A 14,443-nucleotide genomic window follows, 5' to 3' on the forward strand; every position below is an offset into this window, starting at 1 on the left:
GGCACAGACATTATGCTCTATGCAGGTGATAAAATACAAAGACATGCCCATCAGCCTTAAGGAATTTGCATATAGCATGATGAAACAAAAACATCAATGTTGAGGGGTCAACATTTACACACTGTGACAAGCAAAACATAGCTCTTGTATTTTCCATACCAATACCAGCTTGCCCTTGGGTAATGGTGGGGCAGTGGGGGAAGTTGGAGCTAGACTTAAACTTGCCAGTGAAAGGCAATTTAGCTTGTTCTTGTTTAACAGTCTCATTTAGGTGACCTTAATTCCTTTAGAGGTAAATATTTCATTACCCAAACTCCAAACTTCTTTGTCCTTTCCTCAAGGGTCCCCATCTATGTCCTGCTTCCCCGGGAGACACCTGTAAGCAGGGAGCATTTACCTGTCTGTGGGAAAGAGGTGGTCTTCACAATCGATGAATCATAATCCTCATAACTGATTATCATCATCGATAATTTACTGTCAAAGGCCCATTCCTGAGATGAAGACTGCTCTGCTTTCTTGATTCTAGAAAGGCATGGAGTTGAATTTTCAGGGCCCTTGGCCACGAACAGCTGCTGGCATGGCCACTCCTTGGCCTTAGCTGGTGCTATAGGAACCTGTAGCTCCTAGGTGGTGAGATGTCAGAAAGGCTACAAGATTGGCTGTCTTGCTAGATGGCCTGAGGTTGAGCCTCAGCCCTGCCATTAACTACCTCTGTGATTTTAGCAAAGTTACTTCTTCCCTATGCCTTAGTTTCTTCATCTGTGCAATGAAATAATTTTTTAAATATCCATCTTGTTGGGTGATCAGGAAAATTAAACGAGATAATGCATATAAACAGGCATAGAGCAATATCTGCAATATTATATGTGCTAAATAAATATGAACTACGTTTCTAGCCTCTGAACTCATCAGGTGATTTGATAGCCCCATTCATCTTTCTTCAGCAGCACCGCCTGACATAATGGTGTGTGTGTGTGTGCGTGTGTGTGCGTGTGTGTGTGTGTAGGGGAAGATCTAAATCCCTTCCATGCCACCTGAGAGAGGTGGCTTCTTTCTAAAATTCTCAGTGGGAAGCAGGATGCAAGACACCACACACACCCCTACGTATTATTAGCTTCCCCCTCTATTGCTTTGTAATTTCTACTCTAATTCCTCTTCTCAACCCGGACCTTGGGGACGTACGATTTTTAAGCCTGACCTTTTGCCTTGGTCTACCCTCGAGACTTCCACCCGTAATTCCTCCTTTCAAGCGGAAAGCTTTCTGGGTCTTTCTGTTTAGTGGGAACTTTGCATAAATCATATCCCGAGTTCTCTACCTATGGCTTAGAGCAAAACTTTGTTGTTACCTGGCAAGAGCAAAGCATACTGCCATGCTTTGCTCTTACCAGATAACTCAAGGATGTTTAGAATATAGAAATCCTTTTCTCTTCCAATTAGACTGACTTCAAAACGCAGGAGACTCCACCTAACACAAAGAAATGACAAATGCTTGAGGTGATGGATATCCCAATTACCCTGACTTGATCATTACACATTGTATGCCTATATCAAAACAATTACCCTGATTTGATCATTACAGTATATATGTCTGTATCAAAACACCACATGTACCCCATAAGTAATACAATTATTAGGTACTCAAAATAATTTTTAAAAATCATTTTAAAGATTTGAAATTTTTTTAAAAAGAGAATCAGACAGACAGACAAGGAGACAGATCGCTATTTCCATAGAATGGTCTAACTTTGACAGAGTACGCAGTTTTCTCAGTGCAATTTGCTCTTTAATCATCCCATGAACCTCCCTTCCCATGGTGAGCGTACTGTGCTGTGTCTCCTGATCTCGACAATTACCTCAAGGATGACACTCAAAAATCAATGTGTCCTCTGAAATAGGATGAAATGAAGATTTTAAAGCTACATACTGACACGTACATCCATGTGGTTTTCATTTTTTCAATCTCTTTAAAGAACTGTTTCACCGATATTATCAGAGTTGATGTTTTTTACTGTTTTTCTAATTAAGTTTCCTAATGGATTTGAGTACCAATTCAAGATTAAATTTTTTAAAAAAGAAAGGAAAAAACCTCAGGAGACTCAAGTCAGCTTGGAGACTCACATCTGGTCAATTATCTCTTTATTTTTGTGTTTTATATCCTCTCTCTGAAGGGGGAAATGCTATACACACCCCTATACGTTATTAGCTTCCCTCTTCCCTCTCCTCTTCTCTGTGATTTCTGCCTCTCTTTGATTGCTCTTCTCAACCCAGAGAGAACCACAGCACCATAGGATTATGGAGGAAATGATGTTAGAAAATGTGGCTGTGCATGGTGGTTCACACCTGTAATCTTAGCACTTTGAGAGGCCGAGGCAGGAGGATTGCTTGAGTCCAGGAGTTCAAGACCAGCCTGGACAACATAGCAAGACCCCATCTCTACAAAAAATGCAAAAATTATCTTGGTGTGGTGGCACCCACCTATAATCCCAGCTACTCTGGAGGCTGAGGTGGCAGGATTGCTTGAGCCCGGGAGGTCAAGGCTACAATGAGTGATGATCATGCCGCTGCACTCCAGCCTGGGCAACAGTGTGAGAACCCATCCCTAAAAAAAAAAAAAAAAAAGAAAAGAAAAAATGTTTCAAACACTACACCCATTATATGTAAATATATACAAATTATAACAAATTATACAAATTATAAATTCCTTGAACACTTCCTGTGTGCCAGGCATTGCGCTGAGCTCTTTTCTTTCAATCTATTCTCACAACTACAATTATCCCCATGTTATAGGTAAATCAAATGAGCATTAAAGATAATAAATATTTGCTGAATGTCACACCACTAGTTATGAGTGAAGATGTGTGACAGCAGAGTCTGCTTGCAATCACGGTGCTATTTTGTTTCATACAGATGCAATGATGCAGTGTAAGAATGATTTGATGGGCCTGCTTGGGCCAGAGCTTAGTGGCTAGCTAGTGTCAGTGCTTCCGGGAGAGGTGGAAACAATTCTGGATAACATAAGGTAAAGAATTTGAGTATTTTGAGAGACTTCAGAAGAGAAAGAATGGGAAAGGGTAAGTGGATGGTAAGATGACCACTGTTCACTGTGACCCACCTCTTCCCTAAATCAACAGTGAAAGTCACAAACATTGAGAAATGCTTGTGCTCTCTGAGATCTTGTAAAAACATTAAAAGCTGTTGAGTCCTGCACTCAGGTGCATGTGGGAACAAAACAGGAGTCAAATAGTTGTGGAGACAGAGGGAAAATGGAAACTGTAAGTCCAAGGGTTTTTGACAAAATCTGGGGGAACATTGCTATGAGCCGTATCCAGCCTTTGAATTTGTCTTCTTAAGAAAATTTCACCTAAAATACAAGGGATGATGTATTAGTCTGAATTCTCCAGAGAAACAGAACCAACAGCATGGAATATATACATGTATATAGAGAGATACATAGATTTCTTATAATAAACTATGACTCATATATAAAATTTGTTATATAATAATTATATTATTATATATTATCTGTGATTTTATATATTCATAATTTATTATAACAAATTTTAAATCTTATAAATAAATAGGGTTTATATATAAAGGCATTTATTGTAAGAAATTGAATCATGTGTTTATGGGGGCACAGAAGTTCCAAGATCTGCAGTCAGCAAGCTGGAGACCCAGCAGAACCCATGCTGTAAGTTCAAGTCTGAGTCTATGGGAGGAGAAGAACGATGTCTCAGCTCAAAGACAGTAAGGCAGAGAAGTAAATTCTTCCTCACTCTACCTTTTTTGTTCTATTCAGGCCTTCAATGGTTTGGATGAGGCTCACTCACATTGAGCAGAGCAATCTGCTTTACTCAGTCCATCAATTCAAATGTAAATCTCACCCAGAAACACCCTCACAGACAAGTTCAGAAAAAATGTTTCACCAACTATCTGGGTACCCCCATGACCCAGTGAAGCTGACACATAAAATTAGCTTTTGTGATAGGGAACCCCAAAATTGTATCTTGCTCATATTTAAGACATAGAAAAAAGGGCTCATTCAGTTGAGATGTTTTCCTAGCAGGTTAGGAAGTATGATGCATTATCTAAATAATGACAGCTGGGAATATTTAGGTTGGGGGAGGGAGAGAGTCCAAGATATGTATTTTTATTTTTTAAATATTTTAATGTTAAAATTTATATATTATATTTATATCTAATATTAAGGGTTATAAATAATTAATATTTAACTATAAAGATAAAATATAAAATACTTGTTTTAAATATTTTATTTTTAATGTTAAATAACTTAATATTTTATTGTGAAAAATATTTCAATATTATTTTAATATTTTAATTTAATTATTTTATATTTTTCTATTTTTATTGAGAACTTCAGCAAGGGTTCTGTGTCCCCACCCAAATCTCATCTTGAATTGTAGCTCCCATAACTCCTACAGGTTGTGGGAGGAACCCGGTGGGAGATAACTGAATTATGGGGGCAGTTTCCCCCCATACTGTTCTCATGGTAGTAAATAAGTCTCACAAGATCTGATGTGTTTATAAGGGGTTCCCCTTTCACTTGGCTCTCATTCTCTCTTGTCTGCCGCCATGTAAGATGTGCCTTTCACCTTCTACCATGATTGTGAGGCCTCCCCAGTACTGTAAGTCCATTAAGCCTCTTTTTCTTTATAAATAACCCAGTCTCAGGTATGTCTTTAACAGCAGCATGAAAACAGACTAATACAGTAAATTGGTACCGGTAGAGTGGAGTGCTGCTGTAAAGATACCCAAAAATGTGGAAGTGACTTTGGAACTGGGTAACAGGCAGAGGCTGGAACAGTTTGGTGGGCTCAGAAGAAAACAGGAAAATGTGGGAAAGTTTGGAACTTCCTAGAGGCTTGTTGAATGGCTTTGACCAAAATGCTGATAGTAATATGGACAATAAAATCCAGGCTGAGGTGACCTCAGAGGGAGATGAGAAACTTGTTGGGAACTGGAATAAAGGTGACTCTTGTTATGTTTTAGCAAAGAGACTGGTGGCATTTTGCCCCTGCCCTAGAGATTTGTGGAACTTTGAACTTGAGGGAGATGATTCAGGGTATCTGGCAGAAGAAATTTCTAAGGAGCAAAGCATTCAAGAGGTGACTTGGGTGCTGTTAAAGGCACTAAGTTTTAAAAGGAAAACAGCATAAAAGTTTGGAAAATGTGCAGCCTGAATATGTGGTAGAAAAACAAAAAAAACATTTTCTAAGGAGAAATTCAAGCCAGCTGCAGAAATTTGCATAAGTAACAAAAAGCCAAATATTAATCACCAAGACAAAGGGGAAAATGTCTCCAGGGCATGTCAGAGACATTTGCAGCAGCCCCTCCCATCACAAGCCCAGAGGTCTAGGAGGAAAAAATGGTTTCATGGGCTGGCCCAGGGCCCCCCTGCTATGTGCAGTCTAGTGACTTGGTGCCTTACGTCCCAGCCACTCTAGCCATGGCTAAAAGCGGTCAAAGTAGACTGGGTGCAGTGGCTCACACCTGTAATCCCAGCACTTTGGGAGGCCGAGGCAGGTGGATCACCTGAGGTCAGGAGTTCGAGACCAGGCTGGCCAACATGGTGAAACCTCGTCTCTACTAAAAATACAAAAATTAGCCAGGCATGATGGCATGTGCCTGTAATCCCAGCTACTCGGGAGGCTGAGGCAGGAGAGTCGCTTGAACTCAGGAGGTAGAGGTTGGGGTGAGCTAAGATCATGCCATTGCACTCCAGCCTGGTGACAGAGCAAGACTCCATCTCAAAAAAATATAAAAATACAAATAAAGGGGGGCCAAGGTATAGCTCAGGTTGTGGCTTCAGAGGGTGCAAGCCACAAGCCTTGGCAGCTTCCATGTGGTGTTGGGCCCGCGAATGCACAGAAGTCAAGAGTTGGGGTTTGGGAACATTTGCCTAGATTTCAGAGGATGTATGGAAATGCCTGGATGTCTAGGCACAAGTTTGCTGCAGCGGCAGTACCCTCATAGAGAAGCTCTGCTAGGGCAGTGTAGAAGGGAAATGTGGGATTGAAGGCCCCACACAGAGTCTTCACTGGGGTACTGCCTAATGGAGCTGTGAGAAGAGGATCACCGTCCTCCAGACCCCAGAATGGTAGAACCACCAGCAGCTTGCATTGTGCACCTGGAAAAGCTGCAGACACTCAATGCCAGCTCACGAAAGCAGCCAGAAGGGAGGCTGTACCTTGCAAAGCCACAGGGGCAGAGCTGCCCAAGACCATGGGAACCCACCTCTTGCATCAGCATGACCTGGATGTGAAACATAGAGGCAAAGGAGATCATTTTGGAGTTTTAAGATTTGACTGCCCCACTGGATTTTGGACTTGCATGGGGCCTTTAGCCCCTTCATTTTGGCTCATTTCTCCCATTTGGAATGGGTGTATTTATCCAATGCTTGTACCTCCATTGTATCTAGGAAGTAACTGACTTGCTTTTGATTTTACAGGCTCATAGGCAGAAGGGACTTGCCTTGTCTCGGATGAAACTTTGGACTGTGGACATTTGAGTTAATGCTGAAATGAGTTAAGACTTTGGGGGACTGTTGGGAAGGCATGATTGGTTTTGAAATGTGAAGACATGAGATTTGAGAGGGCCCAGGGGTGGAATGATATGGTTTGGATGTGTCCGCACCCAAATATCATTTTGAATTGTGGCTCCTATAATTCTTACATGCTGTGGGAGGGAACTGGTGGGAGATAATTGAATCATGGGGGCAGTTCCCCATACTGTTCTCCTGGTAGTAAATAAGTCTCATGAAATACGATTTTTTTTTTTTTTTAGACAGTTTCACTCTTGTTGCCCAGGCTGGAGTGCAATGATGCGCTCTTGGCTCACTGCAACATCTGCCTCCTAGGTTCAAGCTATTCTCCTGTCTCAGCCTCCTGAGTAGCTGGGATTACAGGCACCCACTATGACGCCTGGCTAATTTTTTTTGTATTTTTAGTAGAGACAGGGTTTCACTATGTTGGCCAGGCTGGTCTTGAACTTCTGGCCTCAGGTGATCCTCCCATCTTGGCCTCCCAAAATGCTGGGATTGCAGGCATAAGCCACCACACCCAGCTGAGATCTGATGTTTTTATAAGGGGTTTCCCTTTCTCTTGGCTCTCATTCTGTCTTGCCTGCTGCCATTTAAGAGGTGACTTTCGCCTTTCACCATGATTGTGAGGCCTCCTCAGCCACGTGGAACTGTGAGTCCATTAAACCTCTTTTTCTTTATAAATTACCCAGTCTCAGGTATGTCTTTATCAGCAGCATAGGAACAGACTAATACAGGTTCTATGGACAGAGCTCTGATCTCTCCCTGGGATAGAGTTCCTGGGTAGAGGGATAGCCACCATCTCTGTGGTTCAGTAGACTCAGCTGTTCCAACCTGCTGGTTTTGGAGAATACAAACAGTCCTGACAAGGAAGAGTTCTTCCAAATTGAGTACACCTGCTCTATTAAAAACCAGCCAGACTGTTTCTTTAAGCAGGTCCCTGATCCTGTTCCTCCTGAGTGGGTAAGACTTCCCAACAGGGTCTCCAGCAACCTTCTACAGGAATGTTCAGGACAGCAACAGGTCAGTACCACCCTAAGATGGAGCTTCCAGAGGAAGGAGCAGGCTGCTGTCTTTGCTGTTTTGCAGTCTTCACTGGTGATACCTCCAGGTACAAGAAAACCGAGGCAACTGAGGTCTGGAGTAGACCCACAGCAAACCACAGCACCCCTACAGTAGAGAGGCCTGACTGTTAAAAAAAAAAAATCAGAAAATATCAACAACATCAACAAAAAAGATCCCACACAAAAAAAAAACCCAAAGGTCAACAACCTCAAAAACTGAAGGTAGATAAGCCCACAAAGATGAGAAACAAACAATGCAAAAACACTGAAAACACAAAAAACCAGAGTGCTTCTTCTCCAAATGACTGCAACACATTTTTTAGCAAGGGCACTGAACTGTGCTGAGGCTGAGATAGCTGAGTTGACAGAAGTAGGCTTCAGAAGGTGGGTAATAATGAACTTTGCTGAGCTAAAGGAGCATGTTATAACCCAATACAAAGAAGCTAAGAATCATAATAAAATAATACAATAGCTGATACCAGAACAACCAGTTTTGAGAGGAACATAAAAGACCTGATAGAGCTGAAAAATATAACTTGAGAACTTCACAACTTCACAATCACAAGTATCAATAGCTAAATAGACCAAGTGGAGGAAAGAATCTCAGAGCTTGAAGACTATCTTTCTGAAAAAGACAAGGCACAGAAGAATAGAGAAAAAAGAATGAAAAGGAATGAACAAAACCTCCAAGAAATATGGGATTATGTAAAGAGACAACCTATGACTGATTGAGGTAACTGAAAGAGACAGAGTATGGAACCAAGTTGGAAAACATACTTCAGGGTATCATCCAGGAGAACTTTCCCAACCTAGCAAGACAGGCCAACATTCAAATTCAGGAAATGCAAAGATCACCACTAAGATACTTTATGAAAAATCAACCCCAAGACACACAATCATCAGAGTCTCCAAGGTTGAAATGAAAGAAAAAATGTTAAGAGAAGCCAGAGAGAAAGGCCAGGTCACCTACAAAGGGAAGCCCATCAGACTAACAGCAGAACTCTCAGTGGAAACCCTATAAACCAGAAAAGACTGGGGGCCAATATCAACATTCTCAAAGAAAAAAAGAATTTCCAACCCAGAATTGCATATCCAGCCAAACTAAGCTTCATAAGCAAAGGCGAAATAAGATCTTTTTTAGACAAGCAAATGCTGATGAAATTCATCACCACCAGGACTGCCTTGCCAGAGCTCCTGGAGGAAGTGCTAAATATGGAAAGAAAAAACCATTATAAGCCATTACAAAAACACAGAGATACATAGACCAGTGACACTATGAAGCAACCACATGAACAAGTCTGCAAAATAACCAGCTAGCATCATGATGATAGGATCAAATTCACACATAACAATACTAACCTGAAATGTAAATGAGCTAAATGCCCAAATTAAAAGACACAGAATGGCAAGCTGGATAAAGAGCCAAAACCCATCCGTATGTCATCTTTAAGAGACTCATCTCATGTGCAAAGATACACATAGGCTCAAAATAAATGGATGGAGGAAAATTTACCAAGCAAATGGAAAACAGAAAAAACCAGAGGTTGCAATCCTACTTTCTGGCAAAACAGACTTTAAACCAACAAAAAGTCAAAGAACACAAGGAAGGACATTATATAATGGTAATGGGTTCAATTCAACAAGGAGCGCTAACTATGCTAAATATATATGTACTCAATGCTGGATCACCCAGATTCATAAAGCAAGTTCTTAGAGAGACTTAGACTCCCATACAATAATAGTGGGAGACAGATCATTGAGACAGAAAATTTCCAAAGATATTCAGGACCTGAACTCAACTCTGGATCAAGTATACCTGATAGATATCTACAGAACTCTCTATCCAAAAACAAGAGAATATACATTCTTCTCATCGCCATATGGCACTTACTCTAAAATTGATGACATAATCAAAAGTAAAACTCCTCAGCAAATGCAAGGGAATTGAAATCATAACAGTCTCTCAGACCACAGCACAATCAAATTAGAACTCAAGATTAAGAAATGTACTCAAAAGCACACAACTGCATAGAAATTGAACATCCTGCTCCTGAATGACGCTTGGGTAAACAATGAAATTAAGGCAGAAATCAAGAAATTCTTTGGAACTAATGAGAACAAAGAGACAACATACCAGAATCTCTGGGATGCAGCTAACAGTGTTAAGAGGGAAACTTATGGCACTAAATGCTCACATCAAAAAGTTAGAAAGATCTCAGGTTAACAACCTAATATCTCAACAAAAATAACTACAGAACTAAGAGAAAACAAACACCAAAGCTAGCAGAAGACAAGAAAGAATCAAGATCAGAGCTGAAATGAAGGAGACAGACACACAAAAAACCCTTTTAAAAAAAATCAATGAATCCAGGAGCTGGCTTTTTGGAAAAAAATAATAAATGAGATAGGCCAGTAACTAGACTAATAAAGGAGAGACGAATCAAATAGACACAATCAGAAATGATAATGATGGGGTATCGCCAGTGATCCCACAGAAATACAGATAACCATCAGAGAATACGATAAACACCTCTATGCACATAAACTAGAAAATCTAGAATAAATGGATAAAGTCCTGGACACATAACACCCTCCCAAGACTGAATCAGGAAGCAACTGAATCCCTGAATACATCAATAATGAATTCTGAAATTGAGGCAGTAATAAATAGCCTACAAACCGAAAAAAAAAGCCCAGGACCAGATGGATTTACAGCTGAATTCTACCAGAGGTACAAAGAAGAGCTGGTACCATTTCTACTGGAGCTATTCCAAACAATGGAAATGGAGGGACTCCTCCCTAACTTATTCTATGGGGCCAGCATCATCCTGATACTAAAACCTAGCAGAGATACAACAACAACAAAATTCAGGCCAATATCCTTGATGAATATCTATGCAAAAATCTTCAATAAAATACTAGCAAACTGAATCCAGCAGCACATCAAAAAGCTTATCCACCACAATCAAGTTGGCTTCATCCCAGGATGCAAGGTTGATTCAACAAACACACATCAATAAATGTGATTCATCACATAAACAGAACTAAAGACAAAAACCACATGATTATCTCAATAGATGCAGAAAAGACCTCTGATAAAATTCAACATTCTTTCATGTTAAAAATTCTCAATAAACTAGGTATTGAAGGAACATACCTCAAAATAGTAAGAGCCATCTATGACAAACCCACAGCCAATGTCATATCGAATGGTCAAAAGCTGGAAGCATTCCCTTTAAAAATAAGCACAAGAAAAGGATGCCCTCTCTCACCACTCCTATTCAACACAGCATTGGAAGTTCTGGCCAGGGCAGTCAGGCAAGAGAAAGATATAAAGCATATTCAAATAGGAAAGGAGGAAATCAAACCTTTATTTGCAGATGACATGATCCTGTATCTAGAAAACCCTATAGTCTCAGCCCAAAAGCTTCTTAAGCTGATAAACAACTTCAGCAGTCTCAGGATACAAAAAGCAAGTGCAAAAATCACTAGCATTCCTATACACCAACAACAGGCAAGCAGAGAGCCAAATCATGAATGAACTCCCATTCACAGTTGCTACAAAAAGAATAAAATACCTAGGAATAGACCTAACAAGGGAAGTGAAGGATCTCTTCAAGGAGAGCTACAAGTCACTGCTTGAGGAAATCAGAGAGGATATAAACAAATGGGAAAACATTCCATGCTCATGGATAGGAAAAATCAATATTGTGAAAATGGCCATACTGCCCAAAGTAATTTATAGATTCAATGCTGTTCCTATTAAACTACCATTAACATTCTTCACAGAATTAGAAAAACTATTTTAAAATTCATATGGAAGCAAGAAAGAGGCTGAATAGCCAAGACAATCCTAAGCAAAAAGAACAAAGCTGGAGACATCATGCAATCCAACTTCAAACTATACCACAAGGTTACAGTAACCAAAACAGCATGGTACTGGTATAACAGACACATAGATCAATGGAACAGGAAAGAGACCTCCGAAATAAGACCACACACCTACAACCATCTGATCTTCAACAAACCTGACAAAAACAAACAATGAGAAAAGGGATCCCTGCTTAATAAACAGTGCTGGGAAAACCAGGTACTCAGGAGTCTCAGGCAGGAGAATTGCTTGAACCCCAGAAATGGAGGTTGCAGTGAGCTGAGATCATGCTACTGCACTCCAGCCTGGGTGGCAGAGTGAGACTCTGTCTCAAAAAAAAAAGACCTAGAGGCAGAAATACAATTTGACTCAGTAATCCCATTATTGGATATATACCCAAAGGGATATAAATCATTATAAAGATACAAACAAGTGTATATTCCTTGCAGCACTATTCACAATAGCAAAGACATGGAATCAACTGAAATGCCCATCAATGATAAACTAGATAAACAAAATGTGGTACGTATACATGACATGGAATACTATGCAGCCATAAAAAGGAATGAGATCATGTCCTTTGCAGGGACATGGACAGAGTTGGAAGCCATTATCCTCAGCAAACTAATGCAGGAACAGAAAACCAAAAACTGCGTGATCTCATTTATAAGTGGGAGTTGAATGTTGACAACACATGAACAAATGGCAGGGAGCAACACACACTGGGGTCTGTCGGGGTCAGGGGAAGGGGGGAGGGAGAGCATCAGGAAGAATAGCTAATGGATGCTGGGCTTAATACCTAGGTGATGGGATGATCTGTGCAGCAAACCACCATGACACACATTTACCTATGTAACAAACCTGCACATCCTGCACATGTAGCCCTGGACTTAAAAGTTGGAAAAAAAAAAAAAAAAACCTGTTTCCTATACCCTCATGGAAAAAGATTAATATTTATATATAAATATAGAAATAAAAAATAATTCTGTTTTAAATATTATTTTATTTTTAATGTTAAATGATTTAATATCTTTATTGTGGTAAAATATAAATAAGCTAAAATTTACCATTTTAACCACTTTTAAGTCATTTCCAGTGGCATCAAGTATACTCACAGTAATGTGCAACCATCACCACTATCCCAGAAAGTTTTTGATAGGCAAAAACAGTACATGGAAGGTCATTCTTGGCAGAAAAAAAGAGGAAGCATGGAGAAATGAAATATCAAGCAAATGCAAAACGTTGGCTATAGGCAGAATGTAGAATGCAGTAATTGCATGTGTGCATGACTCTGTGTGTGTATGTGTGTGTGTGGAGGACAAGGCAGTGGTTGGGAGAGGAGTGAGAATTTGAACAAATGGGTCTAGAAAAGCACATGGGGTCAGGTCATGGAGGGTTTGTAAGCCACATTACTGAGTTGTAATTTTATCCTCTTATCTTTTTTTTTTTTTTGAGATGGAGTCTCACTCTGTCTCCCAGGCTGGAGTGCAGTGGCACCATCTCGACTCACTGCAACCTCCGCCTCCCAGGTTCAAGCGATTCTTCCGCCTCAGCCTCCTGAGTAGCTGGGACTACAGGCGCGTGCCACTACACCCGGCTAATTTTTGTATTTTTAGTAAGGATGGGGTTTCACCATATTGGGCTGGCTGGTCTCGAACTCCTGAACTTGTGATCCGCCCACCTCGGCCTCCCAAAGTGCTGGGACTACAGGCGTAAGCCACCGTGCCTGGCCTCCTCTTATCCTCCTAAACCTCTTGGCCCACGTCTGAGACCCCATGGCCGTAGTGGACAGCTCCTACACACTCTCCAGGCAACTGTGACTCTGACTCTTTGCCTACGGGATTTGAGCACCTTGCTCAGCCCATGCATGAGACCCCTCTGAAGTGCTGAGAATTTGATGCCCTAAGAAAGTTAAACCATTACGGGACAGAGGGCAGTTGATAAGGGCTCCAGCTTCTGCATGTCTCATGAGACAGTTCTACATGGTTGCTCAGGGACTCCCTAGCAGGATTGAGCCCCAGTTGTCCACAGGAGCAATCAGCTCATTAACATACACTGTATTGGTTTTTCCCCTTTTCCTATATCAATCAATTTCCTCACCTCTCATCTGAATTCCTGGGATTACCTCCCAATATTGCCTGTGCCCACATACTATCCTTGCCTCAGGTTCTGCTTTGGGAGAAAATCCAATATAGACAAGTGGTTCCAGAAGTAATCTCAGGATTGATCCTGCAGTTGGCTCACTCCAGTCAGATGCTAACACGAGCTGCACTCTTGCTGGTGAATGTAGCTGTGAAAACTCCTGTAGGCTGTAGCATCACAATCACTGAAATGCTCACCAGGGTTGGATTGGGGTAGAAAAGGAAGCACCAGCTTATATGATCTCCATAGCACTTGAAAGATATGGGGGCAATGGTAATGGTAAGAACTGTGGAGTTGCTATAAAAGTGAATAAAAGACTCAGGTCAACCAACCATCAGCTCACTGTGGCACACTGTGAAAGGCAGAGGTCCTCCATGGATGCATTTAAACAGACCATTACCTCCTGCAGCTGTAGGGAAGAATGCTGGTAATCAGGTATAGGACTTGATATAAGGATAATAGACCTACAAAAGAGGCTGAATGCACAGTCTCAGGAGGTCTTCCACATTAAAAATCAGGCCTTAATAGGGAAAGAGTTAAATGCTACAACCTGGGATGGGGACATCTGGGTGGAAAGCTCCAGGCTGGCTAAATGGCTTCCTCCTCGTTAGTAAAAGAGAGCAAACTCCCATTGCCTGAAACCATGCCATGGCCTGACCTGGGGCTGATGTTCCACAAGGTAATCTGTGTCCTCCTCATTGCTCCTTCCCTTATTGCTTCTAGATCCGTAGCTAGGCTGAGGTCCCAGAATATCCTGGATGGAGAAGTAGAGTCCATGCTACAGGAAGAAATAGATTATCTATTTCT

The sequence above is a fragment of the Homo sapiens genome, chromosome 6, assembly GCF_000001405.40.
Source record: "Homo sapiens chromosome 6, GRCh38.p14 Primary Assembly".
In the NCBI taxonomy this organism is placed as follows: domain Eukaryota; kingdom Metazoa; phylum Chordata; class Mammalia; order Primates; family Hominidae; genus Homo; species Homo sapiens.